The sequence below is a fragment of the Homo sapiens genome, chromosome 12 (assembly GCF_000001405.40).
Source record: "Homo sapiens chromosome 12, GRCh38.p14 Primary Assembly".
NCBI lineage: Eukaryota > Metazoa > Chordata > Mammalia > Primates > Hominidae > Homo > Homo sapiens.
Genome location: NC_000012.12, coordinates 111,782,839 through 111,800,776, shown reverse-complemented (window position 1 = coordinate 111,800,776; position 17,938 = coordinate 111,782,839). Strand labels below are relative to the sequence as shown.

The following is a 17,938-nucleotide window of genomic DNA, read 5'->3' as shown; positions in this document are numbered from 1 at the left end:
AACTTTTTGAGGAGCTCCCAAATTATTTTCCACAATGAGTGTGCCATTTTCCATTCCCATCAGCAACATAGGAGGGTTCCGATTTCTCCACATCCTTACCAATACTTTAAAATATATATACATATAGCCCAGCCTGGGCAACATGGCGAGATCTCATCTCTACAAAAAATAAAAATGTTTTTTAATTGTCCAGGTGTGGTGGTACACACCTGTGGTCCCAGCTACTCAGGAGGCAGAGGTGGGAGGATTGCTTGAGCCCAGGAGTTCAAGGCTGCAGTGAGCTATAATCGCACCCCACAGCACTTCAGCCTGGGTAGAATATTTTTTTCTGTCTGAAAAAATAAAACTAAAAATAAATAAATAATAAAAATATAGCCATCCTAGTGGGGGCTAAGTGTGAAGCAGAGGCTAAGCTTTTAGGATCAGTGTCACAATCATGGGTCCCTCTGCTCTGGTCTCCTGCCCTGAGGCAGCTGGGGAGGAGCCCCACCACTCCGCTGCCTGCCAAGTTCAGGTGCAGGGCCTTTGCACCACAGAGAAGCTTGATCCTTCGGAGGTGAGGTAGCAGGACCTCTCAAATCGACATCACACCCTGACCCAGGAGAAACTGAGCCCAGCTCCCCAAATTCCAGGATGGTGACCACCAGATTCCAGTAGGCCCTGGCTTTGAGGAATCTCTGTTGGGTTGTGAGGGGCTGCTGGGAGGCTCTTACCACACAGTGCCCGCCTGGAGGGCCTGGGACAGGTAATTGGCCTTGTCCAAATCCTTTGTGAAGACAGCTGCGGCCAGCCCGTACGTGGAATTGTTGGCTCTCCCAACAACCTCCTCTATGGTCTTGAACTTCAGGATCTGCATCACTGGCCCGAAGATCTGGAGTGAGAGAGCAGCGTAGGAGGGTTCGGCAACACGGAGGCACCTGCCATCGAGCTCTCTCAGAGCAGAACAGATGATTCCAGATTGGGGGATAAGCCCCCAGCCATGCTCTAACAGTTCCAGGGGAAGACAACAGCCATCAAGCTCAGCAGAACACAGAGGGAATGGAGCTAACAGGGGCCAACTTCCTCCTGTGCGCCCCGGGCTTTACATACAGTATCCCATTTCTAAACAATCCTGCCAGGTATGTTATTCACACGTGACACGTAGATTTAGTGTCAAAGAATTTAAGTCAGCTGGGCATTGTGGCTCATGCCTGTAATCCCAGCACTTTGGGAGGCCAAGGTGGGAGAACTGCTTGAGTCTAGGAGTTCGAGTCCAGCCTGGCAAACACAGAGAGACCCTGTCTTTACTCAAAAAAAAAAAAAAAATTTTTGGCCAGGCACGATGGCTCACACCTGTAATCCCAGCATTTTGGGAGGCTGAGGCAGGTGGATCACCTGAGGTCAGGAGTTGGAGACAAGCCTGGCCAACATGGTGAAACCCCATCTCTACTGAAAATAAGAAAAATTAGCTGGGCGTGGTGGTGTGCGCCTGTAATCCCAGCTACTAGTAGGGTCTGAGGCAGGAGAATCGCTTGAACCCGGGAGGCAGAGGTTGCAGTGAGCTGAGATTGCACCACTGCACTCCAGCCTGGCGACAGAGTGAGACTCCATCTCAAAACGAGAAGAGAAAAAATAAGCCGGGCGTGGTGGCTCATGCCTGTAATCCCAGCACTTTGGGAGGCCGAGGCAGGCAGATCACGAAGTCAGGAGTTCGAGACTAGTCTGATCAACATGGTGAAACCCTGTCTTTACTAAAAATACAAAAATTAGCCAGGCGTGGCTAAAACTGGAGACAGAGTCCCGCTCTGTTGCCTAGGCTGGAGTGCAGTGGCGCGATCTCGGCTCACTGAAACCTCTGCCTCCCAGGTTCAAGCGATTCTCCTGCCTCAGCCTCCAGAGTAGCTGGGATTTCAAGCAAGCGCCACCACGCAGGGCTAATTTTTTCTTATTTTTAATACAGACAGGGTTTTGCCATGTTGGCCAGGCTGGTCTCGAACTCATGACCTCAGGTGATCCACCCACTTCGGCCTCCCAAAGTGTTGGGATTACAGGCGTGAGCAACTGCACCCAGCCTGTACTAAAAAATTTTTTTAAAATTAGCCAGGCATGGTGGTGAGCACCTGTAGTCCCAGCTACTCAGAAGGCTGAGGTGGGAGGATCATTTGAGCCCAAGAGTTCAAGGCTATAAGGAGCCATGATTATGCCACTGCACTCCAGCCTGGGCAACAGAGCAAGAATCTGACTGAAAGAAAAAAGGTCATGGGAAGGAGCAGACAATGTCATTCCTAGACTCCTGGCTCTGAGGGCCAGGACACCAAGGCCTGCAGGCCATGCTGAGGAATGCAGACGATCTCCCAGACAGAGGGTACAAGCTGAAGAGGAGGGACAAGATCAGATACATACTATGAATAGCGTGTTATGGGCACTGGTTCTGGGTATAACTTGAGATCTGGCCCCAAGCCAGCAGATGGGTGACAGCATCAGGATGCCAGGCTGAACTGTTTACCTCACCTCCCGCCAAGAATGTTTCCAGAGCACTGGCCCCAAGTGCTCACCTCCTCCTTGGCGATGGTCATGCCATCCTGCACATCTCCAAACACAGTGGGCTGGATGAAGTAACCACGGTCAGCAGCAATGCCCCCACCACACAGCAGCTTCGCCCCCTCTTGCTTCCCCGTGTTGATGTAGCCGAGGATCTTCTTAAACTGAGTTTCATCCACCTGTGGGAGAAGGAACCCAGAGTTATGGAGACATCGGATTCAGACCTCTCCTAGGCTTCAGGCTTAGAATTATGCAGGCAACAAGACAACTGGGAAATGGACCAAGGTCATAAGAAAGCAAGATCAGAAGAGGAAACACACAGGGCCAATAGCAGAAAACACAAAAAAGGCCCAACTTCCTCAGCCTACCGGAGAAAAGGACATCAAATCAATCTTTACTTTTCAACTATAAGATTACCAAAAAGTTTAGGAAGAAAATACACTGATAGCAAGAGACCGTTACATATACTGTTAGAAGGATGACAGACTGGTACAGCCTTTAGAGCAAGTGGTTTATTAATATTGCTCAAAAATTATATACTCAGATCCTTTGGCCCAGCTATTTAACTTCTAGGAATTTATTCTACATATGCACAAAGAGAAATGAACAAGGATATTCACTAGGGAGTATTTTTTTTTTTTTGTATTTTTGTTTTTGAGATGGGGTCTCACTCTGTCACCCAGGCTGGAGTGCAGTGGTGCGATCTCCACTCACTGTAACCTCTGCCTCTCATGCTCAAATGATCCTCCCACCTCAGCCTCCCGAGTAGCTGGGACTATAGGCATGCACCCCTACGCTGGGCTAATTTTTGTATTTTTAGTAGAGACAGGGTTTTGCCTTGTAGCCCAGGCTGGGGGAGCATTTTGTAAAGGCAAAAGATGGAAACAATTCTAAGTATAAATCAGTAGAGGGGTTGGTTAAAATTATTACGGTGCATCCAGTATATTGTCATCACTAATAGATCTGTGAACTAACTGACACAGAAAGATGGCCCAAGATACTCTGTAAAAAGAAGGAAAGCTTGGGCCAGGGGCAGTGGCTCACGCCTGTAATCTCGGCACTTTGGGAGGACGAGGCAGGCAGATCATGAGGTCAGGAGTTCAAGACTAGCCTGGCCAACATAGTGAAACCCCGTCTCTACTAAAAATACAAAAATTAGCTGGGCATGGTGGCACATGCTGAGGCAGGAGAATCGCTTGAACCAGGGAGGTGGAGATTGCAGTAAGCCAAGATCGCGCTATTGCACTCCAGCTCTGGCAACAGAGACTTCGTCTCAAAAAAAAAAAAAAAAAGAAGTAAAGCTTGTAGAACAATATGCACTTATATACTCCTTTATAGGGTAGGGGAGAAGGGCGACAGGGTCTCACTCTATTGCCCAGTCTGAAGAGCAGTGGCACAATCACGGCTCACTGCAACTTCAATCTCCCTGAGCTCAGGTATCTTCTCATCTCAGTCTCCCGAGTAGCTGGACCACAGGTGTGTGCCACCACACCTGGGTAATTTTTATATTTTTAGTAGGGATGGGGTTTTGCTATGTTGCCCAGGCTAGTATCTAACTCCTGGGCTCAAGTAATTGACTCACCTTGGCCTCCCTCCCAAGTGTTAGGACTACAGGGGTTAGCCACCACACCCAGCCTATTTTTTAAAAAATAAACATACAACAGCATAACTGTGTGTGCATGAGTGGTTACCAATGGAGAATAAAAGAAATGCAACAAAGTCTTATTTTTTACATTAAATACCTTTTTTTAAAAAGAGTCAGGGCCTCACTCTGCCACTCAGGCAGCAGTGCAGTGGTGTGATCACTGCTCACTGCAGCCTTGACCTCCTGGGCTCCCACCTCAGCCTCCCAAGTAGCTGAGAGTATAGGCACGCATCACTACATCTGGCTAATTTTTTTTTGCTTTTTTTTAAAAAAAAAATTATTTATTTTTTGAGGTGGAGTCTCACTCTGTCACCCAGGCTGGAGTGCGGTGGCACGATTTTGGCTCACCACAACCTGCGCCTCCCGGGTTCAAGTGATTCTCCTGCCTCAGCCTCCCGAGTAGCTGGGATTATAGGCGCCCACCACCACGCCCAAATAGTTTTTGTATTTTTAGTAGAGATGAGGTTTCACCGTGTTGGCCAGGCTGGTCATGATTTGCATTTTTTTTTTTTTAGTAGAGATGAGGTCTTGCTGTAGTGCCCAGGCTGATCTCGAAATCCTGGGCTCAAGAGATTCTCCTGCCTCAGCCTCCCAAAGTGTTGGGGTTACAGATGTGAGCTGCCACACATAGCCTAAACACTTTCTCATTAAATTTATTAATGCAAGTTTATATTATCTTAATAATTAGCCACAAAGAGAAATGAGACAAAAAGAAATGTTAGGACGGGTGCAGTGGCTCAAGCCTGTAATCTCAGCACTTTGGGAAGCTGAGGTGGGCGGATCACAAGGTCAGGAGTTCAAGACCAGCCTGGCCAACATGGTGAAACCCTGTCTCTACTAAAGATACAAAAAATTAGCTGGGCATGGTGGTGGGCGCCTGTAATCTCAGCTACTCGGGAGACTGAGGCAGGAGAATCATTCAAACCTGGGAGACGGAGGTTGCAGTGAGCCGAGATCGTGCCACTGTACTCCAGCCTGGAGACAGAGCAAGACTCTGTCTCAAAAAAAAAAAAAAGAAAAGAAATGTTAGGACAGGTGCGGTGGCTCACACCTGTAATCTCAGCACTTTGGGAGGCTGAGGCAGGTGGATCACCTGAGGTCAGGAGTTCAAGACCAGCCTGACCATCTTGGTGAAACCCTGTCTCTACTAAAAATACAAAAATTAGCAGGGCGTGGTGGCGTGCACTTGTAGTCCCACCTACTCAGGAGGCTGAGACAGGAGAATTGTTTGAACCTAGGAGGTGGAGGTTGCAGTGAGCTGAGATGATGCCACTGCACTCCAGCCTGGGTGACAGAGCGAGACGGTCTCAAAAGAAAGAAAGAAATGTTAGTGCCCCTAGCTGCACTATTCACAGTAACCAAAAGGTGGAAACAATCAAGTCTGTCAACAGATTAATAGAAAAATCAAAATGTGGTCTATTCACACAATGGAATATTACTTGGCCTTTTATGTTCTGATACATTCTTATTACAACATGGATGAACCTTTAAAACATGGCTACTTGGAAGAAGCCAGACACAAAGAACCATGTAGGATTCCATTTGCATAAAATGTCCAAAATAGATAAATCTATAGGCAGAACATAGATTGGTGGTTGCCTGGGCCTGGTAGGGGGAGGAATGGGGAGTGACTGCTAATGGGTACAGGATATTTAGGGGAGGCAATGACAATATTATAGAATTAGTGGTGATGGTTGCACAAAGTTGTGAATATACTAAAAATCACTGAATCGTACACTAAAATGGTGCATTTTATGCTACGTGAATTATATCTCAATAAAGCTATTAAAGATAGAGATGTTGGAGGCCAGGCACAGTGGCTCACACCTGCAATCCCAGGACTTTGGGAGGCTGAGGTGGGAGGATTGCTTGAGCCCAGCAATTCAAGACCAGCCTGGGTAACATAGCAAGACCTCATCTCTATAAAAAATATGAATATTAGCCAGGTGTGGTGACGTGTGCCTGTAGTCCCACCTACTTGGGAGGCTGAAGCAGGAGGATCACTTGAGGCCAGGAGGTTAAGCCTGCAGTGAGCCATGATCACACCACTGCATTCCAGCCTGGGCAACAGAACAAGACCCTGTCTCTAAAAAAAATCAAAGAGGGGGATGTTGGGCACATAACCCTGTCCCATGGCAAGGCCAGTCCATCCTCAGACATGGCTGTGGCTCCCCACTGAGGAATCAGAAATGCAAACTGCTAAAAGAAAGAAGCCAGTCTGAGAAGGCTACCTACTGTATGATTCGTATAAGACAATCTGGAAAAGGCAAAACTATAGAGACAATAAAAAGATCGGCCAGGCACAATGGCTCACGCCTGTAATCCCAGCACTTTGGAAGGCTGAGGTGGGTGGATCACGAGGTCAGGAGATCGAGACCATCCTGGCCAACGTGGTGAAACCCTGTCTCTACTAAAAATACAAAAATTAGCTGGGCATGGTGGCATGCACCTGTAAGTCCCAGCTACTCAGGAGGCTGGGGCAGGAGAATCACTTGAACCCAGGAGGTACAGGTTGCAGTGAGCCGAGATCACGCCACTGCACTCCAGCCTGGTGACGGAGCGAGACTCTGTCTCAAAAAAAAAAAAAAAAAAAAAAATCAGTGGTTGCCTGCCAGGGCTCAGGGGAGGAAAAGAGGGAAGAATAGGTGGAGGACGGGGGTTTCAGGGCACAAATATATTTATATGATACTAGAATGATGGTATCATACACATTATGATACATTTGTCTAGGCCCATAGTAAGTACAACACAAAAAATGACCCCGAGGCTGGGTGCCTGACAGCAGATTGCCCGAGCTCAGGAGTTCGAGACCAGCCTGGGCAACAGAGTGAAACCCTGTCTCTACTAAAACACAAAAAATTAGCCAGGCGTGGTGGTGCGCACCTGTAGTCCCAGCTACTCAGGAGGCTGAGGCACAAGAATTGCTTGAACCCGGGAGGCATGAGTCGAGATCGTGCCACTGCACTGCAGCCTGGGTGACAGAACAAAACTCTGTCTCCAAAAAAAATAAAAATTAAAAAAAAAAACCCGAATATACACTACAGACCTAAGTGAATAATAAGGTACCAGTATTGGCTCATCAATACTAACAGATGAACCACACTCATGCAGGATGTGAATAAAGGGGAAACTGGTGGAACAGGGAGGTGCGAAGGAATATATGGGCACCCTCTGTACGTTCAGCTCTATTTTTCTATAAACCTACAACTGCTCAAAAGTAAAATCCAGGCCAGGTGTGGTGGTTCATGTCTGTAATCCCAGCACTTTGAGAGGCCAAAGCAGGAGGACTCCTTGAGCCCAGGAATTCAAGGCTGAGGTGAGGTATGATTGCACCACTACACTCCAGCCTGGGCAACAAAGAGAGACCTTGTCTCTAAAATATAAATAGGTAAATAAATAAATAAATAAAATCAAACAGCTCAAAACATGAAGTGAAATAAAGTCCCTATACTAGCCATACCATGGCTCTCAGACACGAAGGTTCACAGAGCTGTGTATCTTCTGGTGGATACACTTCTACTGATGACCAAGGTCTTGGAAACACACACTCCCTTTTGCAGACACTCCTGGTATTTGTTACATATATGCAATTTACAAAGTGCTTCCCAGGATTAATTTCTACATCACAGCCACCCTGTGAATGAGGCAGGGCACGGCTCGGGATGGGGAAATGAAGGCTGAGGGAGGGAACATAGCTTCCCAAAGGCACACAGCTGCTGTGTGGTAGAGCTGAGACCTGAACCCAGTCCCAACTGATCTGAGCCCGATGCCCTCTCTGCTTCTCATGCTGGCTCTAGACACCCAGACCCTGCGGCACTGCCTGGCTCACCTGCGGCCCCTGCTCGGTCTTGCTATCAAAGGGGTTCCCGACCACCCGAGACTTGGCCCGGGCAACGCTCCGCTCCACAAACTCATCATAGATGTCCTCCTGCACGAAGGTCCGGGAGCCGGCACAGCAGCACTGGCCCTGGTTGAAGAACAGGGCGAAGTGGGCCTGTTCCACGGCCCAATCCACTGCGGGAAGTGGGCAGGAGACAGAAAGGTGACAGTGAGGAGGAGGACCCTGGCCCTGGTGGCCGCCTGCCCAATGGAGCCTGTTCCCACCACTGTAAGGGTTGATGCCTGCTGGGTGCCAGAGACAGATACAGGGAGATGAGGGGTGCTCTCGGAGCCCACTGCCAACCAGGACAAAGGGCGTGATGGCGGCAAGTGGATGAGTCAGATAGCAGGGGCGTGGCCTAGCCTGATGATGCAGAGAGCAGCCAGGGAGAGGCTGGGGACAGGCCAAGGCCAGGCCATGCAGGCCCTGCGCTGGCGTCTTATCCTGAGGCCCGAGGGACAGCAACCAACGCCATTGGGCACTGGGGGGGCGACAGGATCGGCTGGAGCCACAACACAGGTGGCCAGGGCTACCTTCAAGGCCAGGCCTTCTCCAGCTGGAAACTCACTATCGGCATCTGACATGATGATGTTGGGGCTCTTCCCCCCCAGCTCCAAGGTCACTCTCTTGAGGTTGCTGCTCCCAGCAGCAACCTGGATTACGCGGCCAATCTGTGGGGACAGAAAGACAGGAACAAGCTCTCAGTGCCGGGAGAAAAGAGTCCAGCACTCTATAGACACAGAACAGAGTCCCCCACAGCTTGAGTGAGCAACTGGACCACGAGAGACCTAGAGAATTTCACCAAATAGACGTTCACTTTTTTTTTCTTTTGGACAGGGTCTCGCTCTGTCACCTAGGCTGGAGTGCAGTGGCGTGATCTCAGCTCACTGCAGCCTTGACCTCTCAGGCTCTGGCAACCCTCCTGCCTCGGCCTTCCAAGTAGCTGGGGCCACACGCACACACCACCACACAAGGCTAATTTTTAACCACAATGGCAGTCCTGGTCAAGGAGTCTGACCTGGCCAAGATGCTTTGATTTGGGGCAAGCGGTCAGCTCTGGGCTATGTGGAGTCTGGCCAGGCCTGGCCTCCTTAGTCCACATGGGACACTGGCCCCTCCCAAGGGCAGCTAGTGTGGCAACCAGACCACGAAGGGCTCAACCCTGCCCCACCCCTCCTGGTACCTACAGGGTCGTCCTGGAGGAAAAGGCCTCCGCTTGACACCCGGGAGCTCACCTTGAGCATGTCGTCCACTGAGGACAGGGGGAGCTTGGGCCAAGGAGGCTGCAAGCTTGAGGCCAGGGTCACCTTACCTCAGTGGAGCCTGTGAATGCCACTTTGTCCACATCCTCATGGGAGGCAATGGCGGCCCCAGCCGTGGGGCCAAATCCAGGCACAATGTTGACCACACCAGGGGGAAAGCCAGCCTGTGAGCAAACAGCCAGGGGACATTGGGAGTCACCCTCCTATTCTGAAGGGCTCAACCAGGGGAAGACACATCCTTTCTCAGAGAGGGTGGGACAGTCTGCCAAGGACACATGTGGTCAGAAGCTAATTGTATGGGGCACTACATGGGAATTCTAAATGGGACGGAGAAGGAGTCTGTTCGCTGGGGTTCCCTGTGTCTTTGCCCCTCCCCTGACAGCATTCACTTAGAACAACAGTGGGTTTTTGTTTGTTTTTTGAGACCGAGTCTCTCTCTGGCACCCAGGCTGGAGTGCAGTGGTGTGATCACAGCTCACTGCAGCCTCAAACTCCTGGGCTCAAGTGATCCTCCTGCCTTAACCTCCCAAGTAGTTGGGACTACAGGTGCATGCCACCCAGCTGATTTTTAATTTTTTGTAGAGATGGGGTCTTGCTATGTTGCTCAGGCTGGTCTCAAACTCCTGAACTCAAGCAACCCTCCTGCTTTGGCCACCCAAAGTGCTGGGATTGCAGGCGTGAGCCACCAAGCCTGGCCTAGAGCAATATTTTTAATTCTTCAAAGGGGATCTTGCAGTGAAGTCCAATGTGGAAAAAAGCTAAGAGGGAGCCACTCTGGTTCACATGGTGATGGGGGCTCCACAAACACACCTCCCTGTTTAGGGACCCCTGAGACCCTTCTCAGAACTCCTTTAGAACAAGCCTCAACAAGGGCATTTAGAGGTTAAGACCAGGATAAGCCACGCACCTCCTTGATCAGGTTGGCCACATAGAGGGCGGTGAGGGGTGTCTGCTCAGCTACCTTCATCACAACCACGTTTCCAGTTGCCAAGGCTGGGCCCAGCTTCCATGCTTGCATCAGGAGCGGGAAATTCCACTGCAACAAACAACAGCAGCCCTCGAAATCCAAGCTTCCTCAGAGAACTACACTGGGTAGCAGAAGGTGGCAACCCCAGAGGGCAGAAGCAGCACCGAGTTCTCTGAACCCTGCGTGTCCTCCCCTAACTCCATCCATCGTGGTTTTAAGATGAATGGATGAGGCAGGCGGTGCACAACGATGACAGACTCACATTTATCCGTGCTTTTATGTCCGTGACACCATGCTAAGCCCTAATTACCTCCCTAAGACAGGCACTATGTTCATTTCCACTTTTCAGATGGGGAAACTGAGGCTTGGGGGATAAGTGACTTGCCCAAGGTTACAGAATTCACGAGTGGCAGTGCTGAGACTCAAACCGGATTGGCTTTGTCAGAGCCCATCTTCTTACCTGCCACCCAGGCTGCCTTCCGACACCACCCCAGAACCTCTGCAATGAGTCTGGCAGACTGCCAAATCTCAGGGCACCCTGAAGAAACTCCAGGGAGGCTGGACTCACCGGAATGATCTGCCCGCACACCCCCACAGGTTCATGGCGTGTGTAGCTGAAGAAGTCTCCGTCAATGGGGATGGTTTTCCCGTGGTACTTATCAGCCCAGCCGGCATAATACCTTTAAACAAAGAAACGTTCAAGCTCGAATCAATGATTGTCAGGGACCCCTGCAAACCCTGGCAGAAAGAGAAGACTCAAACTGGTCCAGCTGAGTCTTTCTGAAAACTGTCTTTGCTTTTGGCTTATTCAGAGAGAGACAAGTGACTGCAAAGGTCACGAAAATCTACTCTAGGTAGCTAACCCCCAAGCCTCAGAATCGCCTGGGGTTCTTGTAAAAAACACCAGATCCCAGGAGTCCATTTCCAATCTACTCAATCCCACTCTCTGGGGCTCATGCCCAGGAATTAGATTTTTTTTTTTTCTTTCTTTTCTTTTCTTTTTTTTTTTTTGAGACAGCGTCTCGCTCTGTCTCCCAGGATGGAGTGCAGTGGTGTGATCTGGGCTCACTGCAACCTCGGCCCCCCAGGTTCAAGCGATTCTCTACCTCAGCCTCCCAAGTAGCTGGGATTACAGGCACCTGCCACCATGCCTGACCTTCTTTGTTTTTTTTAAGAAACAGGGTCTTGCTGGGTGTGGTGGCTCACACTTGTAATCCCAGCACTTTGGGAGGCCTAGGTGAGCAGATCACGAGGTCAGGAGTTCGAGACCAGCCTGGCCAAGGTGGTGAAACCCCGTCTCTACTAAAAATACAAAAAATTAGCTGGGCGTGGTGGCGGGTGCCTGTAATCCCAGCACCTCGGGAGGCTGAGGCAGAAGAATGGCTTAAACCTGGGAGGCGGAGGTTGCAGTGAGCCGAGATCACGCCACTGTACTCCAGCCTGGGCAACAGAGCGAGACTCTGTCTCAAAAAAAAAAAAAAAAAAGAAAAGAAAGAAAGAAACAGGGTCTTGCTCAGTTGCCCAGGCTGGAGTACAGTGGCACAATCATAACTCACTGTAGCCTTGACCTCCTGGGCTCAAGTGATCCTCCCACCTTAGCCTCCTGAGTAGCTGAGACTACAGGCACATGTCACCATGCCTGGCTAATGTTTTTAAATTTTTTGTAGAGATGTGGGTCTCCCTATATTGCCCAGGCTGCTCTCAAACTCCTGAGCTCAAGTGATCCTCCTGCCTTGGCCTCCCAAAGTGCTGGGATTACAGGCTCGAGCCATTAGCACCTGGCTAGTGACCTGGGTTTGAACATGGGTTTGTGACCCTGGAAGAAAGCTAGCTAGGGGGTTGCCAATCTATGCAAGCCCAGGCATTGCAGCTTCCCTCCCCCAGATCTATACAAACACAGTCTACATGACATGTGTTTTGCAAGCCCCAGAAGTTATTTCATCAGCACAAAAGCAGAATGCCAAAATTCAGGAAAGCATGTGGCCCCAACTGAGATGTACCAGGCTGCTCTCTCTGGGGTGTCCTTGCAGAGGGAGTTTTTCAGCCTTGGCACTGCTGACATCTGGGGCTGGAGAATTCTTTGTTGTGGGACTGTCCTGGGCATTGTACGATGTTGAGCAGCATCTCTGACCTCTATCCACTAGATGCCAGTAGTACCCTTCCCCTCGCAGTCGAGGCTGCCAAAAATGTCTCTGGACATTGCCCAGTGTCCCCGGGGAGGCGTGATTGCCCTGGCTGTGTGCACCTGTTGTGAAGGATACCGACTGTTTTCTTTTTTTTTTTCTTTTTTTTGAGACGAAGTCTCGCTCTTGTCTCCCAGGCTGGAGTGCAGTGGCGCGATCTCAGCTCACTGCAACCTCCGCCTCCCAGGTTCAAGCGGTTCTCCTGCCTCAGACTCCCAAGTAGCATGCCTGCCAAGACGCCCATCTAAGTTTTAATTTTTTTATTTTTTATTTTTTTTTCTGAGACAGAGTCTCGCTCTGTTGCCCAGGCTGGAGTGCAGTGGCGCGATCTCAGCTCACTGCAAGCTCCACCTCCCAGGTTCACACCATTCTCCTGCCTCAGCCTCCTGAGTAGCTGGGACTATAGGCGCCTGCCACCAAGCCCAGCTAATTTTTTATATATATATATTTTTAGTAGAGATGGGGTTTCACCGTGTTAGCCAGGATGGTCTCGATTTCCTGACCTCGTGATCCCCCCGCCGCGACCTCCCAAAGTGCTGGGATTACAGGCATGAGCCACCGCGCACAGCCTAAGTTTTGTATTTTTAGTAGAGACGGGGTTTCATCATGTTGGCCAGGCTGGTCTCGAACTCCTGACCTCAGGTGATCCACCCAGCTCGGCCTCCCAAACTGCTGGGATTATGGGAGTGAGCCACTGCGCCCGGCCCAACTGTTTTCTTGTCCAACCTCTACTCTTCTGGCACTGCTTCCTCCCCACCACCTCTGTTTACATGTCATAGGGAGGCAGCCATTATGTACACAAATGATCTGTCCACCCTTGGCCACAGCTGGCCAGAACCAAGGCCAGCCACTCAGGGTCCTCCCTCAGGAATATGGCATTACAACTAAAAGATGACAGCTTAGCCTGGCTGGAATCAGGCATGGAGGTACAAGAACAGGTGGTGTGGGCTACCAGGTCCCAATGTAAAAACTGGCCCTCAAAGCCAGTGTAGCTGAGGAGAATGAAGCAAGCAGGGAGGTGAGTGAGACTCAATGGCCTTTTGCATTAGAGACCTCTTGACTCTATCGTTTAAGTTGGGCTCAGTGAATTTCTTTCTTTCCTTTTTTTTTTGTTGAGATGGAGCCTCAGTCTGTCACCCAGACTGGAGTGCAATGGCACGATCTCGGCTCACTGTAACCTCCACCTCCTGGGTTCAAGTGATTCTCGTGCCTCAGCCTCCTGAGTAGCTGAGATTACAGGCATGCGCCACTACTGCCTGGTTAATTTTTGTATATTTAGTAGAGATGGGGTTTCACCATGTTGGCCAGGCTCCTCTTGGACTTCTGACCTCAAATGATCCACCCGCCTCAGCCTCCCAAAGTGCTAGGATTACAGGTGTGAGCCACTGTGCCTGGCCTCAGTGAATTTCTGGCAGCTCCAACACATGGGCTTTAACAAAGCCCTTGTTCCTTGGTCATTGAAATGTTTATGTTTGCTGGGCATAGTAACTCATGCCTGTAATCCCAGCACTTTGGGAGGCCGAGGTGGGAGGATCACTTGAGCCCAGGAGTCCAAAACTAGCCTGGGCAACATAGCAAGACCCCCGTCTCTACAAAAAATTTAAAAAGTATCCAGGCATGGTGATGCACGCCTGTGGTCCCAGCTACTTAGGAGGCTGAAGTGGGAAGATTGCTTGAGCCCAGAAGGTCAACACTGCAGTGAACTATGATTGTGCCACTGCACTCCAGCCTGGGCAAGAGTGAGACCCTGCCTCAAAAAAAAAAAATTAAAATTATCAATCAATCGCCAGGCGTGGTGGCTCACGCCTCTAATCTCAGCACTTTGGGAAGCCAAGGAGGGTGGATCACAAGGTCAGGAGATTGAGACCATCCTGGCTAACACGGTGAAACCCCATCTCCACTAAAAATACAAAAAATCAGCCGGGCATGGTGGCGGGCGCCTGTAGTCCCAGCTACTCAGGAGGCTGAGGCAGGAGAATGGCATGAACCCGGGAGGCGGAGCTTGCAGTGAGCTGAGATCGCACCACTGCACTCCAGCCTGGGCAACAGAGCGAGACTCCATCTCAAAAAATAATAATAATAATCAATCAATCAATCAATCAAACATTTTTGATTAAACCAAACCCAAAGCTAGTAAAAGGAAGGAAATAAAGACTGAAACGGAGATAGACAAAAGACAATATTTTCTTGAATAGAAAAATAATAAAATCAACAAAACCAAAAGTTTGGTTCTTTGAAAACATTTACAAAATGGACAAACCTTTAGCTAGGCTAAGAAACAGAGAGAAGACCCAAATAAGTAAAACTGAAAATGAAGACAACACTACAGATCTTACAGAGATAAAAAGGATTATAAGAGAATACTGTGAACAATTGTACACCAACAAATTAGATAACCTCGATAAAATGGACAAGTTCCAAATAACACAGAAAGTACCAAAAGTGACTCAAGAACAAAAGAAAGCATTTATGACTAATCACAATTTGTGATATTGAAGGATTTTCCCATGAGCTGGAGTCTAAATAGAGTAGCCTTCTCTGACTCCTGTGATCCTTTTGAATTTTTGTAATTTATTCATTTTTTGTTTTTGTTTTTGAGACAGAGTCTCACTCTGTCACCTAGGCTGGAGTGCAGTGGCGTGATCTTGGCTCACTGTGACCTCCACTTCCAGGGATCAAGAGATTCTTCTACCTTAGCCTCCTGAGTAGCTGGTATTACAGGTGTGCGCCACCATGCCCAGCTAATTTTTGTATTTTTAGTAGAGATGGGGTTTCATCATGTTGACCAGGCTGGTCTCAAACTCTTGACCTCACGTAATCCACCTGGCTCAGCCTCCCAAAGTGCTGGGATTATAGGCATGAGATACCGCGCTCTGCCCCTTTTGAATTTTTGTAATTTAATTTTTACCTCCTAACAACGTTGCCTCCCCTTTTCCCCTGCCAGAACAAAGAACAGGAAAGCTGAGCCCATACCGGAGACATTTGAGGACCATGTCCAAATCCACCAGGTAGGAGATGACATAGGGCTTGCCATTGTCCAGGGTCTCCAAGGCCTGAGAAGAAAACAAGGTCAGCAGAGACATGGGTGCAGGAATGAGAGGAAAACAAAGGGCTGACAGAGGGCGCCAAGGCTGGGACTGAGAAGGGCTGGTGCAAGCCCAGGGTGAGAGTCCGCTTTGTGCCCCAAATGTCACTAGCATCTCTGGACTATTGCCATGGTCTCTCCAAAGGCAGGGAGGAGGAGGAAGGGGGCCAGGCAGGATGAGCCACCAATTTCTCACTCAGTGATTTCATAAACACACTCTTTTAGCTTCTGCTCTCTACCATATCCAGGTGCTGGGATAGAGACCAGCGTGGAGCTTACAGAGCAAAGAGACTGTGCATAATGACACAAGTCCTCAGTCACATGTGTTAAGAGTGCTAGAGGCCGGATGTAGTGACTTGCAGCTATAATCCCAGCACTTTGGGAGGCCGAGGCAGGTGTTCGAGACCAGCCTGACCAAAACAGTGAAACCTTGACTTTATCAAAAATACAAAATTAGCTGGGCATGGTGGTGCACACCTGTAATCCCAGCTAGTGGGGAGGCTGAGGCAGGAGAATTGCTTGAACTTGGGAGGTAGAGGTTGCAGTGAGCCGAGATTGTGCCATTGCACTCCAGCCTGGGTGAAGAGTGAGACTCCATCTCAAAAAATAATAATAATAATAAAAGAATGCTAAAAAATAGAAAGCAGGGAGCCAGGCTGCCCAGCCCTGTCTAGAAACATCAGCCAGAGATGAGCCCTTTAGGCTAGAACCTGAATGATATGTAGGGGGCAACTGGGCAAAGGGGATGGTACAGATGGCAGCAGGGCGAAGAGCATCCCAGGCAGGTGCAAGCGCTGATGCTCAAAGAGGCTTGGCCATCAAGCATGGGAGCCCAGGCTCAGGAGCACATGTGAATGTGAGGACTGCAGTGCAGCATGACTCAGATGATGGAACTAGAACAGGCTGGGTCATTTTTTTTTTGAGACAGGATCTGACTCTGTTGCCCAGGCTGGAGCGCAGTGGCACCACAACAGCTCACTGCAGCCTTGAACTCCTGGGCTCAAGCAAGCCTCCTGCCTCAGCCTACCATGTAGCTAGGACTACAGGCATATGCCACCATACTCAGCTAGTTTTTTAACTTTTTGTAGAGACAGGATCTTGCCATGTTACAGGCTGGTCTTACAGACCATGTTGAGGATTTTATCCTAAGGACACCGCATGCCATGCAGGGATAAGAGCAGAGTGCCATGTATAATCTGCCTTCTGGAAGGTTTGCTCTGGCTTCTGTGTGCAGAATCAATTGTGGCTGGGAGGAGATTGCCTCCTGGTTTCTTCTCCTCTTGCAGCCAGGGAGAAGGCCCACCATGGAGGGGCCGAGGGAGAGGTGTCCATTCCCAGGGGTCTCTCTCCTGGGAAGGCCTCCCTGACACAGCTCCTCTCCCCTCCCCCAGATCCTTCTTGCTTAGCCAAACCCGCCGCATCAAAGGCCAGGTGCGGTGGCTCACGCCTGTAATCCCAGCACTTTGGGAGGCTGAGGCAGGTGGATTACTTGAGCCCAAGGGTTGGAGACCAGCCTGGCCAACATGGTGAAACCTTGTCTCTACTAAAAATACACAAATTAGCTGTGCGTGGTGGCTTGTGCCTGTAATTCCAGCTACTTGGGAGGCTGAGGCAGGAGAATCACTTGAACCCAGGAGGTGGAGGTTGCAGTGAGCCGAGATGTCGCCACTGCACTCCAGCCTAGGCGACAGAGTGAGACTCCATCTCAAAAAAGCAAAACAAAACAAAACAAAAAAACAAAGGAGACACTGAAAGGCTCCTCTGGTTAGTACAGAGGTGCCCCCTAAAGGTGTCCATCCTATGCCATTCCCATCAGTCCCGTGTCAGATGTGTGTTCCCTGGCTGTTCACAGGATGCTTGGTTCCTGGCTGTTCACAGGATGCTGCGAGCCTATTCACCACATGGGATCTGAGGGGGAGAAGGGCTGAGGACTCACCGCCAGGTAGGTCCGGTCCCGCTCGATCAGATCGGCCAGGCGGTTCAGCAGCCGGCCCCTGTGTGATGCGTCCATGCGGCGCCAAGGTGAGCCCAGCTGGAAGGCGGCCCGGGCGGCCTTCACTGCCTTGTCCACATCTTCCTAGAAAACACAGGAAAACTCAAGCCTTCCTGGAAAACTCAGGTCTTCTCAGTAATAACCAGGTCCGAATACAAACACATCCAGAAGGTCATCAGCATATCGCTGCACAGAAAACCTGCCCCGTAAACAATGCTCCTAGCCCGGCAGAGCCCTGATGAGCACCAGACTTCAGCAATGGGGTTGAATAACATGACCTTCCCCTCCTTTCATGAAGTCCTGGTGGGAATGAGAATCCGGATAATTTCTGTATTTTCTTTTTTTTTGTTTTTTTTTTGAGACGAAATCTCGCTCTGTCGCCCAGGCTGGAGTATAGTGGCGC

General features: G+C 49.8%; 1 protein-coding gene and 1 non-coding gene across 3 annotated transcripts in view, besides 2 other annotated features; both read right to left on the bottom strand.

Annotated features, from left to right (window-relative positions):
* The window catches only part of ALDH2 (aldehyde dehydrogenase 2 family member), a 50,600-nt gene that overhangs the window by 16,756 nt on the left and 15,906 nt on the right, over positions 1-17,938 (bottom strand). The window contains exons 3-11 of one of the 2 annotated variants that reach the window (NM_000690.4): positions 17,479-17,619; positions 15,431-15,510; positions 10,843-10,954; positions 10,215-10,343; positions 9,358-9,471; positions 8,614-8,716; positions 7,995-8,179; positions 2,535-2,699; positions 714-871 (exon numbers count right to left, since the gene is read on the bottom strand). In NM_000690.4, coding sequence (NP_000681.2) covers positions 714-871; positions 2,535-2,699; positions 7,995-8,179; positions 8,614-8,716; positions 9,358-9,471; positions 10,215-10,343; positions 10,843-10,954; positions 15,431-15,510; positions 17,479-17,619 — 1,187 coding nt within the window. The remainder of the gene's footprint in view (positions 1-713; positions 872-2,534; positions 2,700-7,994; positions 8,180-8,613; positions 8,717-9,357; positions 9,472-10,214; positions 10,344-10,842; positions 10,955-15,430; positions 15,511-17,478; positions 17,620-17,938) is intronic. The other variant, NM_001204889.2, reaches the window with a different exon arrangement.
* MIR6761 (microRNA 6761) lies at positions 872-943 on the bottom strand. Its single transcript, NR_106819.1, has one exon. It is a non-coding gene; the product is annotated as a microRNA 6761 (primary transcript).
* Positions 7,941-8,865: an enhancer, noted in NCBI's record as "H3K4me1 hESC enhancer chr12:112229716-112230640 (GRCh37/hg19 assembly coordinates)". NCBI's record gives its function as "activates a minimal SCP1, AML or CMV promoter by ChIP-STARR-seq in primed H9 embryonic stem cells {active_cell/tissue: H9 hESC(primed)}" and the evidence as "EXISTENCE:reporter gene assay evidence [ECO:0000049][PMID:30033119]".
* Positions 8,866-9,791: an enhancer, noted in NCBI's record as "H3K4me1 hESC enhancer chr12:112228790-112229715 (GRCh37/hg19 assembly coordinates)". NCBI's record gives its function as "activates a minimal SCP1, AML or CMV promoter by ChIP-STARR-seq in primed H9 embryonic stem cells {active_cell/tissue: H9 hESC(primed)}" and the evidence as "EXISTENCE:reporter gene assay evidence [ECO:0000049][PMID:30033119]".